General features: G+C 48.8%; 1 protein-coding gene across 2 annotated transcripts in view, besides 2 other annotated features; it reads right to left on the bottom strand.

Annotated features, from left to right (window-relative positions):
• Nucleotides 1-21,312, bottom strand: part of YPEL2 (yippee like 2) — a 70,075-nt gene extending 48,763 nt beyond the window's left edge. Inside the window, exon 1 of one of the 2 annotated variants that reach the window (NM_001005404.4) lies at nt 21,143-21,312. The gene's annotated coding sequence lies outside the window, so the exon portion shown is untranslated. Of the gene's footprint in view, nt 1-20,251; nt 20,428-21,142 lie in introns of those variants that run through there. The other variant, XM_017024621.2, reaches the window with a different exon arrangement.
• Nucleotides 20,255-20,816: an enhancer, noted in NCBI's record as "H3K27ac hESC enhancer chr17:57409512-57410073 (GRCh37/hg19 assembly coordinates)". NCBI's record gives its function as "activates a minimal SCP1, AML or CMV promoter by ChIP-STARR-seq in naive H9 embryonic stem cells {active_cell/tissue: H9 hESC(naive)}" and the evidence as "EXISTENCE:reporter gene assay evidence [ECO:0000049][PMID:30033119]".
• Nucleotides 21,027-21,546: a silencer, noted in NCBI's record as "silent region_8778". NCBI's record gives its function as "represses an Ori minimal core promoter by ATAC-STARR-seq in GM12878 lymphoblastoid cells {active_cell/tissue: GM12878}" and the evidence as "EXISTENCE:reporter gene assay evidence [ECO:0000049][PMID:35858748]".

Here is a 22,934-nt window from a genome sequence, read left to right as displayed (position 1 = left end):
CACACATTATCATCATTCCCAGGCAGCCCTAGATAACATCAGGCTTGAAGATGTGCTACCACCTACAGCCCCAGGGAGAGGACTCCTCAGGGACCCCCTCTCCTGAGCCAACCAAGGTGAGTGGTTAAAGGAGAAGGGAAAGTTCAGCCTCTAGAGGTTCACCACATCCAACAGTCACACCTGGGTTTCTCATCTATTTCCAGATGTCAAGAGTCCAACGCTTGAAGCCATCACCTGCAGAGGCAGCAAACCCCACACCCCAGCCTTTGCTTTAGAGATTGAGCATGGGATATAAAGGAACAAGTTCCCAATCAGCAGGATCCCTAGTGCTAAGCCAGCTCTTTCAGAAGAAGTGATTCTCTTTATAACACACCTCACTCAGAAGTAAATACTCAGTACATTTTTTTAAACCAAATGAATGAAATCAATGGCATAATCAGAATCCTGCATCTAAAATTCACAGTAACAGTGAATTTTACCAGAATTTCTCCCAGCCCTTAGACTTTCCATTACTCATCCCATAGGACCATACATCTTTCCTACCACAGCCTCAGCTCTTTTACTGGGAACTAAGGACAATGAGAAAGTGAGGTGGCTCCCAAGGTAACTAAGTGAGCAGCAAGTCCCAGTAAAGGTCTGAGGGCAGGGCCACGAGGTCTAAGACTCCCTCTGCTTCTCTGTGGCTCACCTGCCTAAGGCTTCCGCACCTGCTATCCCCTGGGCTTCACTAATAGGGGTGGTGTTTCCACTTGCCTACCTCCCAGGAGAGCAGGCAGTGTTAATTAACACCTGCGTCATGCTTTGAAGATAAAATTAAAAATTATTTAGGGAGATGGGGAAGGAAGACAAACAAAATCAGATCTTCCTGGCTGGACTACGTCTGGGATCCATCTGGATCTTTAGAGAAAGCCTGCAAATCATCGTCCTCTTTTTCCTCTAAACCTCCCTGGAACCAAATCTTCTAAGGCGAAACTGCCATCTTCCCTGGAATCCTTCCCACCAAAACAGTCACTGAGGCCGCCATACTTCTGGGACACTTTATACCTTCCTGAGTGGCCAACTAACTAACTAGCACTAGGCTGAAGGACAATATCAGCCACCACCCCTTAACCCACAGTGAGAGCACTTCTCTTCTGCAGCCCTGAGCCAAGGAAGCTCCTCATGCAAAGCGACCAATTATATGTGAGCTATCTGACTGTTGAAGGGATTCAGACCTTTGGGGGCCAATGTATGATGTCGCCCCTGCTCAGTCTCCCACCTCTAGTTTTAAAGATGTAAAATCAGTTTACAGTGAACATTATAGCAACACTTGAAGGAAATGGAAGTGGGAAATAATTCTCTCGGCTTTGCCTCAGTTAGGTCTGGCCATCACAGGAGATAGGACGAAAGATACATAAACTTTTGGATCCAGAACCCCTTCATCACACCCTGGGCACACTCTGGGTAGCAGGTAAGGTGAATGACAAAACAGCCCACAGAAGACCAATGCTGTTGGGTGCCAGAGTGTTACAGATAGAAAGGGTGGTAGAGCCAAGTACCCTGCTTGGAGTTTCCTGAAATACCCTCAACCTTTCTTTTTCTTTCTTTTTTAAGACAGAGTCTCACACTCTGTCTTCCAGGCTGGAGTACAGTGGCATGATCTCGGCTCACGGCAACCTCCGCCTCCCGGGTTCAAGCAATCCTCCTGCCTTAGCCTCCCATGTACCTAGAATTACAGGCGCCCGCCACCACGCCTGGCTAATTTTTGTATTTTTAGTAGAGACAGGGTTTCACCATGTTGGCCAGACTGGTCTTGAACTCCTGACATCAGGTGATCAACCCACCTCAGCCTCCCAAAGTGCTGGCATTACAGGTGTGAACCACCGCACCTGGCCCTTCCACCTTTCTAATACTCCTGTTCCATTTCAGGATAGACAGCACATCCAGGAAAGGAAGGGGTGGTGAGTTAGAGTAAGGAAATAGGAAAGACAGGCAGGGGAAAACAAGCAGTAGGCTTCCCCCAGGCCAAATGCTGCTAGAGTCCACAGCCTTAGCTGCCCGCTGGGGAGCACAAAGAGCACCAGACCCATCCGTCTTACACAAACACAGAGGGGAGAAAAAGAAACAATGACCCTGGCTGCCAGGCTGAGTTTAGAGAGCAGATACAGAGTCTGTTTTCTTATACATGCAGACAGCTTCTAAATTATACATTTCCCCAGAGTAGAATTATTTCTTCTCTCACTTCTCCTCTGAAGGAAACCCCCAAAAAAAGTTTACAGGTAGAAGTTTCTGGTTATGTTCAGCTTCAAATCTGAATCCCGAAACTTATTCAAAGCTACCTTCTGTGAAATAAGCATTTCTTGTTTGTATTAAATGTGAGTGTGTCACATACAAACACACACATGCACATTCCATCCTCACCACAGCTCTGAACCTAAAAAGACAAGAGAAAAATCTACCATATAAGCAATGGCCCAGGCTGTCTGGTGCTAGAAAGGCTCTGGAAGGCCTAGACAAGAAGCCTTACATTTTGCTGTGGCAGGGTCACTCTGCTCCCCATTGCTCTTAAATATGAATAAACAGGCATCCTAGAGAGGGACTCCTTTCCTAAGAAGAAAAAAGGAAAAGCCAGATGCGGTGGCTCACACCTATAATCCTAGCACTTTGAAACAGGAGGATTGCTTGAGCCCAAGAGTTCGAGACCAGCTTGGACAACACGGCAAGACCTCAACTCTACAAAAAATTCAAACTTAGCCAGGCATGGTGGCACGCGCCTGTGATCCCAGCTACTTGAGAGGCTGAGGCCAGAGGATTACTTGAGCCCAGGAGGTTGAGACTGCAGTGCACAGTGTTCACTCCAACTGCATTCCAGCCTGGGTGACAGAGCATTAAAAAAAAAGAAAAGAAAAAGGGAAGAAAAAGCGGCTTGCTGAAATATGAATCTTGTTCAACTGGTACAGGACAAACTAGAAGAAATGAGAGGAGGTAAGTAGAAAGCAAGGAGAAGCAGGATCAAGAAAGGCCTGTAGGGCCAGGCACAGTGGCTCATGCCCGTAATCCCAGCACTTTGGGAGGCTGAGGCGGGCGGATCACGAGGTCAAGAGATTGAGACCATCCTGGCCAATATGGTGAAACCCCGTCTCTACCAAAAATACAAAAATTAGCCGGGCATGGTGGCGTGTGCCTGTAGTCCCAGCTACTCAGGAGACTGAGGCAGGAGAATCGCCTGAACCTGCGAGGTGGAGGTTGCAGTGAGCCGAGATCGTGCCACTGCACTCCAGTCTGGTGACAGTGCGAGATTCTGTCTCAAAACAAAACAAAACAAAACAAAAGGCCAGCCTGTGGGGGCCGGGGAAGGTGGTCACGCCTGTAATCCAGACACTTTGGGAGGCCAAGGCAGATCACTTGAGGTCAGGAGTTTGAGACCAGCCTGGCCAACATGGTGAAACCCTGTTTCCACTAAAAATACAAAAATTAGCCAGGCATGGTAGCGCACGCCCGTAGTCCCAGCTGTAGTCCCAGCTACTCGAGAGGCTGAGGCAGGTGAATCACTTGAGCCTGGGAGGCGGAGGTTGCAGCCTGGACGACAGAGCGAGACTCCGTCTCAACAAAAAAAAAAAAAAAAAAAAGAAAAAAAAGGCCTGTGGGCTGAGAAAGGGGAGGGCAGGCTGCATGAGAGGAACAAGCTGAGAGATGGGGACCAAAAAATCAACATCTGCACTGTCTTCTTCCCTTTTAAGCAAAAATTTTAAAAGCTTCTTTGAGTCAATTCTTAGGAAAGAAAATTGATTTTTTTTTTTTTTTTTTTTTTTTTGAGACGGAGTCTCGCTCTGTCACCCAGGCTGGAGTGCAGTGGCGCCATCTCGGCTCACTGCAAGCTCTGCCTCCCGGGTTCACGCCATTCTCCTGCCTCAGCCTCCCGAGTAGCTGGGACTACAGGCGCCCGCCACTACGCCCGGCTAACTTTTTGTATTTTTAGTAGAGACGGGGTTTCACCGTGGTCTCGATCTCCTGACCTCATGATCCGCCCACCTCGGCCTCCCAAAGTGCTGGGATTACAGGCGTGAGCCACTGCGCCCAGCCAAAATTGATTTTTTTTTAAAGGAAGAAATTAAGAGTATGGAGCTTAACTCATCATTCTAATTTTTGAACTTTAGCCCCTGTTAATGGGGCAACAGGGTCCATGGGGCTTCATGAGTCCAACTCATAGAACATAACTGTGGAGTTCCAAATTGATTTCCAACAGTCATCAAATGAGCTTAATATTTAAAAGCCTCAGGGCACATGTGCAAATTAAACACCATTTTAAGTGAACTAATAATCCATCACAGTGGAAATTAAAGGAAGATTTGCCGCCACCCCTAGCTAGCTTTCACTGAGCAGCACAGAAAGAAAATATGTGAGATATTATGATTAAAAACAAAGATCTTCGATACACCACCTCGAGAGACAAATGCACAGGGAGCACATGCCAACCTGGCCAGCCCCCACCCCATGCCGCCTCCCCGGCCAACAGGCCTTCCCCAAAAGGGAGTAACTGCCGCTGGAACTCAAAACAGAACCTTCTGAGTGCCACCAGGATGGAGGGGCGGGAGATGGGACGCTCTTGTTAAGCCACAAAGGAACGTGAGGAATGATGTGGAAGCAAGGCTGGACCACCACATGCCGAGCCACGGAAACTGACCTGAGAAGTGGGACTCTCTACAGGAAGGAATTCCTCCAGACATGAGACAAGGCTGGCCCCAAGGCATGCCTCTGTGTTGTTGTTTCCATGGGGTGTCTGAGAGGAGGTGAAGACTGGAAAAGAAGTGGGCTCTGGACTCACACAAACCAGTTCTGCTCCTTTCTAGCTGCGTGACTTCTGGCAAGTTACGAAACCACTCTGACCCTCAGCTTCCCTATCTCTAATAAGACCAACCTCCACAGGGGTTCTAGGTGTTAAGTGAGATGATCTCAGTGCTTACACAGAGCTGGCGCACAATACACACCAAAATTTCATCTATTATTTTTAATGGCCAATGGGGGAGAAAAACAGATGCTGCTGCTTAAAAAAAAAGAAAGAAAAAGAAAAAGGAGAAGGCCTGAGAGTTCAGACAGACATGGAGTTTGGGGTCCTTTGGGAACATCCTATTTTTCCTCTTTCCTATTTATGTTGAACCTGATGCCTGTGTGTAGCCAAATTCCAGCCTGCCCCTTCCATTAGGATCCTTTAACTTGTCTTCAAGCATCTCTTTGAGATGATACCACTGGGACATCTCCCCAAATCTAGAATTCTCTTTTCAAGATGAGACAAGGCGGCAATAATATTGGAGGAACCACAGGCATGCGTTAGTATTGAGGTCCTTCTAAGAGGTGCTTCCTCAGTGGCCATGCTCTCAACAGCCTGAAGGTAAGCATCTCTGACTTATACAGCCCTGGCAGGCCTTTGGGCCTCTTTCCCCCTCAAATCCACCCACTGCATGCCAGCCAGTGTTGTCTATTTAAAAAGGAGATCTGACCACGTCATCACTCTTAAAGTTTTCAGAAAGGCAACACAGAGCAGTGGTTAAAAAGACAGGACCGGCTGGACACAGTGGTTCATGTCGGTAATCCCAACACTTCGGGAGGCTGAGGCAGAAGGACTGCTTGAGGCCAGGAGTATGAGACTAGCCTGGGCAACACAGTGAAACCCTAAAAAGAAAAAAGAAAAAAAAGGACCTGGAACTAGTTTCAAATCTCAGCTCTGTCATTTACTAGCTGTGTGACCTTGGACAAATTACCTAACCTCTCTGGACCTCACTTTCCTCACAAAAAATAGAGACAATAATATCTACTTCATAGGGCTCATATGAGGATGAACTAAGTTAGTAGAAAAGTATTCAGCATATGTGCCTGGCATGTAGTAACCACATAATACATTCCAGGTGTGTATTACCACTAACGCCCATGCATAGCTTCGGACTCATCTCATCCTCTATACCTTATCCTCCATCTCCATTTATTGAAATGACATTTAAGAGTCTACCATGTGTCAGGAACTCTCTTAGGAGGCATTTGGCAACTTGTACCACTCCTTGTAGGTCCCCTCAGTACACCACGCTTGCACTTTACGCTTCCATGGTTTTGCTGATGCCATTCCTTCAGGCTGATACAACCTTTCCATCTCTCCTCACAAGGCCCTTACTTGTCCATTGAAACTCAGCTCAAATGTCACCTCAACACCGGGCTTAGTGGCCTCTCCTGTGCTCACCTCCATCTTAACCCTACTGAAATTGAAATTACCCTTTCTGCCTCTGTATCCTCTACTAGAGGTAGGCTCCAAGAGTCATCTTTGTACCCCATGAACTCAGCAGCACAGGACACACAGTAGAAGCTAAACACCATCACTGAACTGAACCTCCTCTGCTTCCCATTGGCTGCTCACTGGACAGGTCCACCTACCTGCACAGGTAGCACATGTGATAAGGCCCCTCCCTCCCTCTCCAAGCAAGGAGGAAGGAGGCGAACTTACTCTGCGTCCCGAGACTCCATCTAACCCAATTCTCTCCTCACCACCTCCACTCTCATCCCGTGCTGTGATGCCCAGGAAAACCACAATTCCTGGGTGCCACTCAAAGGCCTGTCATTGGCATCCATGCCTATTCTTTACACTGCTGGTCTAGGTTTAAAAAACAAACAAATTAAAAACTCTTAGAAAGACTGAAAGGGACCTTGTGCTAACTTTAAGGACGGGAGGGTAGGAACGTGACTAAGTAGCCATAGCCTGTCCCAACATCTGTGAAGAATGAAAGCAGCCCTGGCTGGAGGCACTAAATGGTGGTGGCGGCAGAAAGGAGGAGGCAAGCTACTTCTGGGAGTGGGAGACAGAAAAAAGAGAGAGGTGGAATTGTGAGAAGGCCTTTATACTGGGAAAGTTGTCCTCCTTCCCCATCCTACTCTCCCCAGAATCCTGAGCCTAGAGCAGAGAGCACAGAGAGACCTGTGCCCGCCCAATGAGAGAGGTGGGCAGCAGTGTTGCCCAGCGGTTAAGAGTGCAGGATCTAGAGGTGGGTGGACCTGGATTCCGTCTTGGTTCTTCTCACCAGCTACATTACCACTGGGCAAATTGCCTGAAAGGAGATAACAATAGAGCCTACCTCCTGCAGGAGACAGAAGGATGAAATGAGATAACGCAATTGGAGTATTCAGCACAGCACCCAGCACATGGCTAATACTCAATAATCCCGATTAGCTACAGTCACCCTTACCAGTGAGGGAGAAAAAGCACAGGAATTGTTCCTATTCACAAGACCAAAAGGAATGGCGTTCCCGTCCCCCAGGTTGACTCACGGTGGTTAGGAGGTTAGGGCCTAAACTAATCGACTTAAAGGTACATTGTGGTTTAAGTAGGCTTCTGTGGCTTAGCTGGGGACCTGATATTATTGCTGTCATTCCTAACACAGACCACTCCATCACTTACTGTATTGAAAAAGTTATCTCTGTGGTCTACACTGACTCTACTAATCTCAGGACGGGGCCACTGCTAAAACTTCTCTGAAAATCGTCTATTAAAGCTGCCAAGGAGCTGATGTGCAAGGCCCACAGGAAAATCATCATTTTCTAGACACCTCTTTTACAGCACTGGAACCAGGTGGGACTTCACATCCATCCAGCTGGTAATAAAAACCAGCTTGGATACTCAAGAAACCACGCTCCTTCATAAACAAAAACAACCATTCATCTCAACCCTGGATGCAGGGTCTAGTCTTGGTTTCGGGGGCTTATACGTCAGATGATAATCCTACATGATCTCTAGAATTCTCTCAGCCTTTAAAGTCCTGGTTCCATGTAGTAGTGATGCTCTGCCTGCCGAATCCTGCCTCAGGAGAAAGTATTCCTCTGTCAGCCTTCAAAACGCCCCATCAGGTCAGTGGCGGCATTAGATTCTCATAGGAGTGCGAACCCTATTGTGAACTGTGCATGCCAGAGATCTAGGTTGTGCACTCCTTATGAGAATCTAACTAATGCCTGATGAGCTGAGGTGGAACAGTTTCATCCCAAAACCATCCCCCACATCCGTGGAAAAATTGTCTTCCACAAAACCGGTCCCTGGTGCCAAAAGGTTGGGGACCACTGCTCTAGAGGGATGGAAGAGCTACAGAGCCTTCTGGCAATGCTTCATGAATATCATTTATCATAACCAGGATTTTCGGTAACAAAAATACGGGCAGTCTCCAACATGCCAAGTCCAAACACTAATACTTTTTTTTTTGAGACGGAGTCTTGCCCTGTCACCCAGGCTGGAGTGCAGTGGCGTGATTTTGGCTCACTGCAACCGCTGCCTTCCAGGTTCAAGCAGTTCTCCTGCCTCACCCTCCCGGGTAGCTGGGATTACAGGCGTGTACCACCATTGCTGGCTAATTTTTGTATTTTTAGTAGAGACGGGGTTTCGCCAAGTTGGCCAGGCTGGTCTCGAACTCCTGACCTCAGGTGGTCCACCTGCCTCAGCCTCTCAAAGTGCTGGGATTACAGATGTGAGCCACAAACACTAATACTTTTGAATGCTAACACTATTTGGACTTGGTGCTGCCTTCAGTTGCCTTCATCTGAAATGCTCCTTAATGGGCTTTACTGTGTTTCTCTGGATTCTTCTCCTACCTCTCTGTTTGAGCCTCAATCTCCCCGGCTGTTCTCCTTCCATCGTTCTTGGCAGTGCTTCTGCCATGTGCCTCTGACTTCTTGTTCCCCTGGGCCTTCTTACCCACACCCTCTCAAGCCCTCTAAACCTGTGCCTTCTACTCCTGAACCCTTGACCCCTTTATAAAGGATGTCTCCATGCTGGGCACAGTGGCTCATGCCTGTAATCCCAGCACTTTGGGAGGCTGAGGTGGAAGGATCATTTGAGCCCAGGAGTTCCAGACCAGCCTGGGCAATGTAGTGAGACTCCTGTCACCTTCATTCCAATTCTGTTCCTGCTTCCAGTTGCCCAAGCAGGAAACCCCCTTTATGCTCTCCCTTCTATGTCATACTTCATTTGTCCCCTAGACAGTTGGTTCTGCTTCCTAGATGCACCCTCCCATTGCCACCCTCAGTCACCAGCAGCAGCACTGTGAACCCCATCTTCTCTCATCCTGGACTACTGCGACAGCTTCCCATAGGTCTCCCTGACTCAGCTCTTACCTCTCCAGCCCATTCTAGAATTCTGTTTATAAAACACAACCTGATCACACACTTTCACATTTCAAAACCTCCAGTGGTTTCCTAGTAGCTTACAAGATGTGGTCCAACCCTTCAGGTGGCACCAAGAGCCTGGGTCCAACTCTCCTTATATTGTCATCACCTCCCCACCCTACTCCAAACCTGTTTCCTACAGATCAAACTCAGTCATTATCCTGTGCTCCTTACATTATTCCAGCTCCTATAATGCCTTACCCTACCCTTCTCTGCCTACCTTATTCGTTAAGGGATGAGTAAATGCCTGCTCATCCCTTAATACTCAGCTCCAGTAGGACCCTAACAGAGCTGGTGGTCCCTTCTCCCAGCACACAAAAAACTTAATTTTTCTCTGGAATGGCATTTTATCACACTGTTCATGAGTCTCTATCCCCATAAGACTGGGAACTTCTTGCAGTCAAAGGTCCGGCCTTCCAGATCCCCCCAACCCCACCCCCAGTAGTGTCTACAGGACTCACAGCTCCAGCATACTGGAAATCCTTGATAAATGTTAACTGAGTAAAATGAATGGCCATCAGTGAAACCACACTGCCATGTAAAGCTGGTATTTTTTAAATCACCTTACTCAGTTTGCCACTCTCCAGTACATTTAAAATATCCAATCTGGGCATTACATGGGACTTACACACCATTAATGCTCTACAAAGTTAAAAAGCCAGTAAACTCTTGTGATGCCAACTCATTTGGGCCAGCAGATAGAGTATGAAACTCAGTAGGGCCATGAAATTACCCAGATGAGCCACACCACACAAGCCTCTGATGCTTTTACCTGGCTGCTGTCTGACAGCAGAAACGTTTCCTGCTCTGCCCTTCACACAGTCTGTGTATGCTCCCTTGGGTTAGCTTCCCAAGTGACCCTCCCAGGCGGGCAGGGACTTCCAGACCCCTAGTGAAAAGCTTAGAGTTCCAACCTAGGAGTCTTCTTCCAAGGTGGTCCCCACAAAACCCCCAGGACAGTCTGAACTGCTACCCCAGGCAAGAATGAGTCACAAAAAAATGAAGTGTCAGACTTGATTCAAACCAAGAAGGCAAGGGATCCCTCAACCCTGCCTTGACTATGCAGACGAGAGAGCCAAATGTGCCCTTTTCCTCCAGCCCCAAGAGACTGCCGCCCTTCAACACCAGTCCTTCCTTTTGTATTTGATCATGCTCAGAGATGATAATCCTGGTTAAAACAAAACAAATAGATTTTTCCCATGATCTGTGACCCAGAGAAAAATCTGGTCCATCTTTCTGTCCCCAGACAGGGCTATACTTAAAGTATAATGAAAAACAGCCATTTACAAGATCTAGGAAGAAAAGAAGGTCTTGGAAAATAGGGTAAGAGATACGGCCTATCTTCAGAAGTTACTGCACCAGGGAACCCTCCCCCTGGCCTCGTCCAGCCCCAACTAAGTCAGGCTCCCCTATGCCACACATATAGCACTATCCACAGCTGTACTTTTACTGAGGTGATTATTTGATTGTCATCTGTGTTTCCCACATTCAAATATCTGCTGAATACATGAATGTGTTGTAGACTTTGGGCACTGTGTGACCTTGATTTCTCTTTAAACTGCTGGTCCCCCAGGGCACAGCTGGGGCCCCAATTAGCTACAAACCACCCATCCTAAATCTGCCAATACAATTCTGTTGTTCAGCTGTCAGCATGCCTTTGGCTTTCTGACTTTAATCTCCCAATTCAAATAAATCCAAAACTCTAGACTCTGACATCTGTGGCTGGGCTCCCCGCCTTTCCGCAATTGGAATTTGGAAATTGAACTTTTTAAAAACTGAAGAGCAAAAAAGGGAAGAGGCACTTTCAAAAGGTTGCTTATATGTCTAAAGACCCAGCCATCGCCAGCCCAAAGTTGGAAGTTATTTTGTTCTGGGAATTATTAAACTGTCATCCAGTGGTGCCATTTACTGAGGGAGAGGAAAGGCGGTGGGGTGGGAAAGGGAGGAGACTCACTCTACAGCACATTTCTGGGTTTCTTCTCTGAATGGGAATAGCAGATAGATTTTAACAAGAATCGAAGTCCCTGTTCTCCTTCAATCCTCCTTCTTAAAAGTGCTTCCACCACGTGCCTCTGATCCTTTGAGGTCCAGCAAATGCACGCAGCCTGTTTACCTTTTTAATATAACTTTTTTTTTTCCTGAGACGTTGTTTCGCACTTGTTGCCCACGCTGGAGTGCAATGGCACAATCTGGCTCACTGCAACCTGCGCCTCCCAGGTTCAAGCAATTCTCCTGCCTCCGCCTCCCAAGTAGCTGGGATTATAGGCACCCGCCACCACACCCGGCTAATTTTTGTATTTTTAGTAGGGACGGGTTTTGCCATGTTGTCCAGACTGGTCTGGAACTCCTGACCTCAGGAGATGCTGGGATTACAGGCATGAGTCACCGCGCCTGGCCTTTTTTTTTTGAGACGGAGTCTCGCTCTGTAGCCCAGGCTGGAGTGCAGTGGTGCGATCTCCGCTCATTGCAAGCTCCGCCTCCCGGGTTCAAGCGATTCTCCTGCCTCAGCCTCCCGAGTAGCTGGGACTACAGGCACCAGCCACCACGCCTGGCTAATTTTTTGTATTTTTAGTAGAGATGGGATTTCACCTTGTTAGTCAGGATGGTCTCCGCCCACCTCGGCCTCCCAAAGTGCTGGGATTACAGGGGTTTCGCCATGTTGGCCAGGCTGGTCTGGAACACCTGACCTCAGGCTATCTGCCCGCCTCAGCATCTCAAAGTACTGGGATTACAGGCATGAGCCACCGCGCCCGGCCACCTTAATTTTTTAAAGTTCCGCAAAACAGCCGGGTGCGGTGGCTCAAGCCTGTAATCCCAGCACTTTGAGATGCTGAGGCGGGCAGATAGCCTGAGGTCAGGTGTTCCAGACCAGCCTGGCCAACATGGCGAAACCCCGTCTCTACTAAAAATACAAAAATTAGCCAGGCGTGGTGGCACACGCCTGTAATCCCAGCTACTTGGGAGGGTGAGGCAGGGGAATCACTTAAACCCAGGAGGCTGAGGTTGCAGTGACCGAGATGGCGTCACTGCACTCCAGCCTGGGCAACAGAGCAAGACATCGCCATTTCAAAAAAAAAAAAGTTCGGCTGGGTGCGGTGGCTCACGCCTGTAATCCCAGCACTTTGAAAGGCCGAGGTGGGCGGATCACAAGGTCAGGAGTTCGAGATCATCCTGGCTAACACGGTGAAACCCCGTCTCTACTGAAAGTATAAAAAATTAGCCGAGCGAGGTGGCGGGTGCCTGTAGTCCCAGCTACTTGGGAGGCTGAGGCAGGAGAATGGCGTGAACCTGGAGGGCGGAGCCTGCAGTGAGCTGAGATCGCACCACTGCACTCCAGCCTGGGCGACAGAGCAAGACTCTGTCTCAAAAAAAAAAAATAAATAAAGTTCCAGCTGGGCACGGTGGCTCACGCCTGTAATCCCAGCACTTTGGGAGGCCAAGGCGGGTGGATCACCTGAGGTCAGGAGTTCGAGACCAGCCTGGCCAACGTAGTGAAACCCTGTCTCTACTAAAAATACAAAAATTAGCCGGGCGTAGTGGCAGGTGCCTGTAATCCCAGCTACTCTGGAGGCTGGGGCAGGACGATCGCTTGAACCTGGGGGGGTGGAGATTGCAGTGAGCTGAGATCACACCATTGTACTCCAGCTTGGGCAACAAGAGTGAAACTCCATCTCAAAAAAAAAAAAAAAGTTCCACAAAATTAGTTGTTTCTCAGTCAGACTTCCCACTAGATTGCAAACCATTCCTGGCCATGGTTAATCAGACATGAGACCATGTCTGGTTAATCAGCCCTCATACGCAGCCCAAAGCTTGGCAAGAGGAGCTCAGAAAGCTCAGTAAGCCTTGGTTGGAGGAAGGTAGGAAGTGGGGGCAGTTTGGGAGAGAGACCCTGGAACAACTGCAGATAAACCTCCAGGATTCTACAATTTATTAATTCCCTGTTATGCGTCTATGAGGGGTCATATCTCAATTAATCCTCACAACAACCCAGGGAGACAGGCATTATGATGATGACCCCTGCTTTCCAGACACAGAAAAAGGAACAATTTGCCCAAGATCACACAATTAGAGAGGACCAAAACCAGGATTCAAATCCCCCGTCCCTTGCAAGTAGATCCTTCCTCCCCAAACCAGCCAGAGAAGAGTCTGAGGAAGTGTATTCTCAGTCCCTGAATTCCTTCCAGAGCTTCAAGCAGAATGGGAGAGTCTAAGTCAACTCAACATAATGCAAAATGAAGACGTCAAGTTCTCTCTAAACACCCTCAGACTCTCAGCTCAATGCTTCAACATTAAATTGCCGAAATGGGAGAAAACAAATGAGGGATGGGAATAACCTGAGCCAGAAGGTGGGACAACAGATTAGGCACAAGAAAAAGGGAGTTTTCAGCTCTTGTTGTACCTCTCTGCTAATGAAGCACTTAGCTTTAAGGCTGCAGTTAAGTGTGGGGATAACTTTTCCTCAAATCCTAACAGAAAAAAAGAGCCCCGCGAGCAAAACAAACTGCAAGCCCTATTTAATTTAGGTTTATGTAATGTGCACGTTCATACCATTAACGTAACCTGTCCTGAAAGTTAATTCATTTCTCTCTTATGGTTCATTTGGCAATGGGTCAATGTAGGGAGGGACCCCCAACAGACAAAGACCGAAGTGGTAAAAGAAGAAACAAGGCGTTGGGGTGGGGGTGGGGGTGGGGGGCGCAGATATCCTGGATGACGTGTAGGGGCAACACAAAGGAAAAAGCAAAAACAGAAAGAGCAAGGGCAAGGGGGCCAAAAGCCAAGGCTGCTTGGTAGCTCCTGCCAGAGGGATCAAGCACGACCTCAGTGGTTTCCAGACCTCAGTCATGTGTGGGGTTGGCTGCTTTAGAAGAACCTGGGAAACAGTTTTTCAGGGGTTGTTACTATTTTCTTGTTTTTGTTACAAATTCCCCATCCTGAAAATTCTGATTTTGTAGGCCTTTAGCAGGACGATGAATTCTTAAGGCAGCCAGCTTCGAGAATCCCTAGAGATAGCCTCCCTCCTGGAGACGCCTATGATCTGAGGCAATTAGCCATTGTGCAGTGCTCTTCACCCTTACTGTGAAGGAAGTCACAGTCCACTCCCACGGAGTGCTCTATCTGCAGCCATGGTAGCTGAGAACTACATCCCAGTGCCCTCTTTCCCCATCTCACGTGCTTCCTGAACATTCCCCATACACTCCCTCTTATATTCACACCTCAGTGCCTCTGCACAACTGTTCCCCATGGAATGTTTCTGTATGTGTAAATCCTCTTCATTCTTCACCAATCCATCTCAAAAATAGGGATCAAAATATTCCTGATGGGCAGGATCTGTTCCGTGCCTACACTTATTTGCCTCAGGTACTCCTGAACAGAATGTCTTGAGAAAACAAAATACCAATCACTAGAAAGGTCAGTATTTCCTAGAACTAAAAATTTCGTATCAGGTAAAACAAAGCCACTTTCTCTGGTGCAACTGAACTTGGTCACCATTCACACCCAGAAGATCATGTTTGAGCCTCAGTGGCACCCATCTGCCAACTGGATGTCAAGCCTTCCTTTCCCAGTGAGAAACAGACAAAGGAACTCCAGACACTGGAGGGTAAGCTCACATGGAGCCAGCAATCCAGTTTCGAATCAAAGCCACTCAGTCTAGACACACTGCTTTTAAGACCACAGGGGAGGGCTGACTCCTCTGTAGCTCAGGAGACCCAGGTATTGCTGAGCCATCCAGGTAACAGGAATGCAGGTGGCACTGCTGCACCTCGCAAGCAGAATGCTGCTCTGTCTCGTTTCAGAGAGAAGGTAGACTCTGCCTAGAATGGAGACATGGGCTATTTAGGGTTTAGATGAGGAGCTGGTATTATTCCAGAATGCGCAGCAGTAGGAAGAGGCCTGGGTCTGGGAAACAGAAGGTATGGTTTATAGCTTCCGCTTTGCCCTAATTAGCACTATGTCTTAAAGCAAGTCCTTTTTGTCTGTTTGAACCTCAGTGTGTATATCTCCAAAATGTTAACACCTAAACAGACTTTAATGCCCAACCCAGTATATACCTAATTAATAGAAAACAAAAATTACAAGGTTAACACTAGAAAAAATTAGGATGCAGGGCCCTACATAGTCACTAAAATCAAGCCACAAATTTCACTCTGTACTTCCTGGTAGCCAAAGCAAAAAGCATTTATCATTTATAGCATTTATAGCATTTATCATGCTATAAATTTCCAATTTCCACAAAAGAAAAAGCATACCAGGTTTTCAGGAGAGGCAAAGCTTTTCAGAGACATTAGGTTCTAAAAGAATTTCTCCCGGCCGGGCGCGGTGGCTCACGCTTGTAATCCCAGCACTTTGGGAGGCCGAGGCGGGCGGATCACGAGGTCAGGAGATCGAGACCATCCTGGCTAACACGGTGAAACCCCATCTCTACTAAAAATACAAAAAAAATTAGCCGGGCGTGATGGTGGGCGCCTGTAGTCCCAGCTACTCGGGAGGCTGAGGCAGGAGAATGGCGTGAACCCGGGAGGCGGAGCTTGCAGTGAGCCGAGATTGCACCACTGCACTCCCGCCTGGGCCACAGAGCGAGACTCCGTCTCAAACAAAAAAAACAAAAAAAAAGAATTTCTCCCATGAACTTCTTAAAGGGGGCATTGAATCTGTAGCTAGTCTTCAACAATATAAACCCTTATAAGAATTACAGTAACAAGTTATATAAAGCTATTTCTGACAGTGTCCTTCCATAAAGCAAAGGGCAGACACTGAAGCCCAACTCGGTAAAAATAACAACGGAGGGGCTGACATAATGGCACATGCAGATGGCCCAGCCTAATCAAGTCTAAAACCAAGAATCGCCACAGGAGCAGATAGAAAACTCGTCCTTCCAAAAACTTCTGTAACTGTTACTTCTTCCAGGTGGGTGTTGGGCAGCAGTCAGCTTGCGAATACATGGTTTCTAAATTCCATTCCAGTTCAAATAGATGTAAGTGGCATTTTCAGTCTTTACTTACTTATATTAAGAAGTCCTCCTCTGACCCCACCACACACTGTCCACTCCCAAATCAATGGATTGAGAATGGATTCCTCTGAGCCAGAGAGAGGGGAATCCACCTATTAATGTTAGTGCTGTTATTAATAGCTAGCACTGAGTGCTTAGGTGCCAGGCTCTGTACCTGGTTTCCCCTGCAGTCTCATTTAATCCTCCCATCAGTCCCGTGTGATGCAAACTATTATTAGTACCATTTTAAAAATAAGGAACAAAGATTTAGAGAATTTTAGTAGATTGCCAAGGTCACAGAGCTAATTATCCAGGTCTTTCTGATTCCAAAGTCCAGGCTCTTAGCCCCACATATAGTGCCTCCTGGTATTAATGAAATGTGATTACTGATAGAAATGCTAACATTTGTTAGAAGAAAACAAACAGCGAGGCCTAGAATAAGGTTACTGGGGTAGGTAAGAGTTGTTTATTATTAATGACAACAAAATAACAATGGAGCTTTTGGAGGCTTTGCCAACCTATAAATGGAATAAAGGAATGAAAACTATTGTGAAAAGCAGAAATAGTGCAAGTGAAAGTAATTCTGAGAGCATACTATATTATCCCAGAAAAAGAGAATTATCTTTTCCTCTTAAAGTATATTTCCTCCTCTAGAGATTCTAAACCTTGGTTCTCTTGGTCATTCACGCATTCAACCAACAAATACTTATCCAGTGTCTACTCCACACCAAGCATTTTCAGCAGCAAGCAAGACAGAGAAGCTCTCAAGCTTCCGTGTCGGCAAACAGGTAGATAATATATTTCCAGACGGTATTAAAGTGCTTTGAAGAAAATAAAGTTAAGGGGATTAAGAGAGGCTGAGGGGCAGAGAAGGGAGGAGCTGTTCTAGATAACTGGTCCGTCAGGAAGTAGCTCTGAGAACCAAGTGAGAGTCAGCCACGCAAAAATTTGGAGAAAGAGCCAGGCACGGTGGCTTATGCCTGTAATCCCAAGACTTGTCAGAGGCTGAGGCAGGCAGATCACCTGAGGTCAGGAGTTCAAGACCAGCCTGGACAATATGGTGAAACCCCGTCTCCACTAAAAATGCAAAAATTAGCCGGGCGTGGTGGGGTGCGCCTGTAATCCCAGCTACTTGGGAGGCTGAGGCAGGAGAATCACTTGAATCAGGGAGGCAGAGGTTGCAGTGAGCAGATCACACCACTGCACTCCAGCCTGGGCAAGAGCAAGACCCTGTCTCAAACAGAAAAGAAAAATCTGGAGAAAGAATCCTGGAAAGAGTTACTACCAGTAGAAAAGCCCTATGACAAACCTAAGTATGGCATGTTTCAGAAACCTCAGAAAGGCGAGCTTTTCTCAAGCAGGAAGAAGCAGAGTGGACAGGTTGGGGATTGGTAAGAGATGAGGCAGAAGATGGGGGAGTAGGACAAGCCGTGTGGTGCCTACAAGGAAAGGAATTAGATTATATCTGAAGGGCAATGGGAAGCCATTGGCAAATTGGCGACAAGAGAATAGCAAATTCTGATTTACTTTTAAGCTCTCCAGTGCTATATCCACAGCTCCCAGGTAAACAAACTCAGGCAGTACAATACTTCACAGACTCAAGTGTATCACCTTTTGTTAAGGACAATGTCACTGAAAACTAACAACTCTAAAAAATATCTTTAGCCTGCAGGCCCTGGCTGGCTTTCCATCATTACAGGCTCAAGTTGAAAATGATGCTTCTTCCTTTTCCAAAACTTTATACCTTTTTATGCTCAGGGGAATGCAGTTGTCAGAGCACCTAGTGGTTTGCCTGACAAACCCTAAGGAAATGCCAAGGTAATTTACAATGGGAATTGATCACATCCTCCATCTGAATCTCACTTCAACATCTCTTCCTTCTGGCTTTTCCAATCCTGGGACATCTTATCCCTTGCCATCCTTTTGTTGCTTTCTTTTCTCCATATGCTCAAAACTAAACATTCTGAATGTGAGTTGCTTGGCCAAACTGAACATTATTAAAGTTAATTTTTAAAATCCCACGCTTGATGCTCCCATAAGGCACACCTTTAGCAAGAAGGGCTACAGTGGAAGTTGAATTTGGATAGAGTCCTTTTTGAAGCTAAATCGCAGCTTTCATTAATTCAAATAAATGTATCCTACCAATATGTCTGGACACAATAACTAAGAGGGAAAAATCTAACCTGTGGCTGCATCAGGCGTGTGTGTGTGTGTGTGTGTGTGTGTGTGTGTGTGTTTGTGCCTGAAGGCAGATAACAGCATCAGAAACTGGATGCCTAACAAGATTCGCCTGCACACAGGGACTGGGCCATCACAATGGGAAGTAACCAGGACTGGGGTAGCCCAGGAGGTATGGGAACTTGTGCCTCTTATTAAGACCTGATGGTAGACAAACTCCTGACTCCTCACCCCCCCCCAAATAAAAAGAGTCACCTGCCTGCCTTCCCCCGAGGCTATGCAGTCTGGAATACACGGATACTAAACAAAATCAACCTCTTCTTCAGCTGGCCAATTGTGAATCTCCCAGGCACAATGACTGTGTGGCTGCCTCAAAACCGTGAAAATCATTACGACAATGAAGAATTCACATAATCTATGAACAGCACAGCAACTCACGCAACTCATCGGCACTACTCACATCTCCAACCCCCACACACCTAGAAACATCTCCTGGTACACAACACTGTGCAGCAGCCCTCAAACAGGCTGGAGTGGAGAGGGAGGGATACCAGTCTCTTAAAGCCAACTGCTTCATGGCAGTTGAGAACAAACAATACTGTGCCCTTAGACTTTTCAAAGCCTAAGCTAGTGTGATTGGCAGCTGAGTGATTTTGGGATTGCAGAGTATGGGGTCACATACCTGACTGCACTTCAGAGCCAAGTTAATACCTTTCATTGTTCACTGCCTCCAGTTCCCACTAGATCAGGGGCTCTTATCAAGCACCTGCATCACAATCTCATAGGTCCCCTGGTAAAAATGCAGATTCCTGTGGCCCACTGAAAATAAACATCTGCGGAGTAGCCTGACAAACTATTTTTAAACACTACCCAGGTCATCTTTATACACATTTAAGTTTGAGGACCTCTGCCTTAAAGCGATGCTTCTCAAACTATGGGTCAGGACCTGCTTGGTCAGGAAATCAAATTAATGGGTCATAACCAGCAGTTGATTTTTTTAAATGAAGTAGAAAAAAAAACCTTTAAAACAGAGCACACTGCAGGGAGTAAGGGTAATTATTGTTCTCTGAAACTTATTTCAGTTACAGACCTGTATGCAGTGCAGGTCCCACTCAAAGTCTGAAAACCATGCTCCTAGAGGGAAGAAGGAAAACAGTTTTCTCGCGCATGGTGTTTATTTTCCATTTTCCACCCCTAACTCTAAGCTTCTTGATTTTGGTTCAAGCACAGAAATATCAAGACAGATCCAAGAAATGCTGTCATTGAATGCTAACCTGCGGCGGCAAAGCCCAACTGAGGAAGCGGATGAGGCTCCCACTGCACTCCTGCCTGAGATCCTATCATGGAGCTGGGGACAGGGGATGGTGCCAAGGGGGAAGTCTGCACAGCTCTCCCCAGGCTGGGCCTGTTTCTGGGGAAAAGAACTTGCAGCCACTCAAAACACAGTTTAGAAGAATGAAAATGTTCCTCACCGGAGGCAAGACTCAGCCATTCATAGGCCCTGTGGCCCCCAGAGGCAGGAAAGCACGGGGGAGCAATAACCATGTGAAATCAAGTCCCACCCCAGAGCCAGTGAGGCGGTTTACTGAACTTCTTGCATCTTTAATGCTCTGTGAGGCACAGGGAAGCTGACCGCTACCCTTCTTGCCCAATGCTTTGGAACAAGGAAGAACAAGGAAGGAAGGGCAGGGAGGAAAAGACAGCTGTCTCGTTAGCCTTCAGATTCACCAAAGGCAAGGACTCACTCAAGAGCCTCCCAAGTTGCAAGGACAGCAAATCAGCAAGGAGGCCAGAAAGCAAAAACCCCAGCAAAGCTTCGGAGCAGTTCTCTGGGGCCTTTCACAGCGGCGGGACTGGGGGGCGGGCGAGGGTGCAGCTCCGCTCCAAGCGGAGGAAAACAAGACACTCGCTCACCTGGCTTTTTAAACTCTCGCAGCTAAGACTGAAGGCAGAGGTAGCAATCTTCCGGACAAGAAGTCCAGAAGAACAGGTGTCCCCCACCCCCGCACGCCCCCAAGACCGGAGAAAAGCCCACCACTCCGGGAAAGACACCAGAGGAGGTCGGCGGCCAAGCAGGGTGAACTGGAAGTGGCGAAAGGTCGGGGCCGCCCCTAAGCGCCAGCTCCGGGGAGGCGCTCGCGGCAGAGGCTCCCGCGTTCCGTCGGGCAGGACCTCGCGCCCACCCCCTTGGCAAGGACACCGGGGAGGCGCCGAGACGCGGCCAGGGAGGAACTCGGCTGCGGTTACCTCGACCCGGGTCGGGGCAGACGACGCGCTCCGAGAAATTTCGAGGGCGCCCAGTCCCACAGTGGAAGGCCCCCAGGGCGGCGCCCCTGGACCTAAGTGTCCCCAGGACTCTCCGAGGGAAACGCGGCGTCACGAGAGGACGGAGGGCGTCCCCAGCCCCACCCGGACCCCATGGAGTCCGAACCCATGGGGACGACGCGGAGGAGGAAGCGGCGATTCCAGCTCCGCACCCCCGCCCCAAACCTGGCCCCGCAGACTCGCCCAGCCCCTGGCGCGCGTCTCCCGCCCCGGCCGGGGGTCCCGCGCCCTTGGGCTCCCTCCGCGAGCGGCCGCGGGCCCGGCAGTGTTTGTAAACAAACCGGTCACGTGGCCCGGCGGCCGCTCCCCGTCCCCGGCGCCCACGGGGACCCCACGCGGAACCGAGGGCGCCGCACCCCCAACCCCGCGCAGGCCCGGCCGGGGGAGTCCGGAGGCCGGGGCCGGGGACCCAGAGCCCGAGCTGACAGCGCGCCCCACGCCCACGCGCGCCCGGCCCGCGCCGCACTCCGGTGCACTTACCCGGCGACAGGCGGCCCTGTCCGGCCAGCGTGGGGCTTGGCTCCGCTGGGGTGCGCAGCGGCGAAGCGCGGCCCGGCTGGGGCTCGGGCTCCCGGCACGCTCTTAAAGCCACAGTCTCCGCCACCGCCGCGGCCGCCACTCCGCATCCCTCCGGGTCCGGGCCGGGGGCTACCCCGTGATGGACGCGCCCCCGCACCTATCCCCTCGGCTCAGCACATAGCAACACGCCGCGGGTTGGCCGGGCGCAGCCGCAGCCCATCCGCGCAGAGCCAATCATCAGAGGACGGAACTCCGCCCCCCGCTTCCCCGACCGCCCACTCCCCCACCCCTCGGCCCGGCCCAGCCTGGGCTAGGGGAGAGCGGCTGGTTAGGGTCCCGCCCGTCCCGGCAACTTGCCGGAGGGCAGGGACCCAGAGTGCCAAAGCTGGGTGGGCTCTCAGCGCCTAGGAGGAGGCCGTTTATTTGAGTTTGGGGTTTGTCCCCAGGGCAGGGCTGGGATTCCCAGAACCTGGGTTGTATTTTGGGGCGGGGGGATTTGCAGTGCATCTCCCTGGAGGCTCAAGATAGTCATTCCTTTCTTACGTTTTAAACCTCGCCCTAAGCCATAGCCTAAGTTACCAGAAGTGGCCCTCAGGCCCCGGGTAATTGAATTTAAAATGATAGGGGGGAGGGGGGAGGGATAGCATTAGGAGATACACCTAATGCTAAATGACGAGTTAATGGGTGCAGCACACCAACATGGCACATGTATACATATGTAACAAACCTGCACATTGTGCACATGTACCCTAAAACTTAAAGTATAATAATAATAAAATTAAAAGAAAATGATAGTGCTAGTTGCACCCAGCCCACCCATGCCTTGCTCAGAAGCCAGGCATTTCCCCTCTTCTCTCTGCCCTGCTAGTAATTTCGGCGAATTAAAAGTACGAAAGGGGCTTAGTGGAATTGAAGACCGCCCCATTGCTGCTAATTTTCCATGACTTTCAGAGGCAGATGACGGTAATTAGAGTGGGATGGTCCGAGTGACCAGAGGGGAGGAGTCCACGTTCTGGGTCACCGGGGTGGTGCTTTTCAAGGAAGAGCAGGTTAAAAAATAACCTCGTGGCAGTCAGGAAACCAGGGAGGCACCAGGTGGGTGGAGTGGGGCAGTTTCCCAGCAGGAAAACAGGACAGTTTGATAAAGAATGTTGGCACGGACAAGGTGAACAAAGCAGGTCCTGCCTTTCGCTCAAGACACTGGGGTTCCGCAGTTCCTCTGGGAACTCTTCCTCCAAGGAAACTAGTGTTTTACTGTGCAGCCATCAGGATGTGAGGTGCTGCAGGAGGTGCAGCTGACTCTCCGCCTTCCACACACTGGTTTGCACGTACACCCAGAATGCTGGCTCACCTGCATCTCCACCCAGCTGTTTTTAAAATATGCTTGGTCAACCAAATTGTATTCAGTTAATATCTATTGCATGTGAATCCAGTCACCAAGGTTAGTAAAAACAACAAAACACCCCAAATACCTCAGTATTGTGGGGCTGACATATCAGCCTCAGATTTGCAGTTTCAGTGTAAACAAAGGCTATGTCCTGGTTCACAACTGACTAGTTTGGAGAGTCTAAAACGGGGGGGGGGGGGGAATGCTTTCAGATGAGAGGAATCACAAACAAGAACTGTTTAGCATTTAATCCTTAATCTAAGATGTGATGGATTCTTTAGATTAGTAAGAGCTTGCCGTCTCGCCCTGATCTGCTTCTTGAGCAAGTTTCTTTGTCTCTCCAGGCCTAGGTTTCCACAGTTTAAA

This window comes from Homo sapiens, chromosome 17 (assembly GCF_000001405.40).
Source record: "Homo sapiens chromosome 17, GRCh38.p14 Primary Assembly".
Classification (NCBI taxonomy): domain Eukaryota; kingdom Metazoa; phylum Chordata; class Mammalia; order Primates; family Hominidae; genus Homo; species Homo sapiens.
This window is presented reverse-complemented; position numbering and strand designations above follow the sequence as displayed.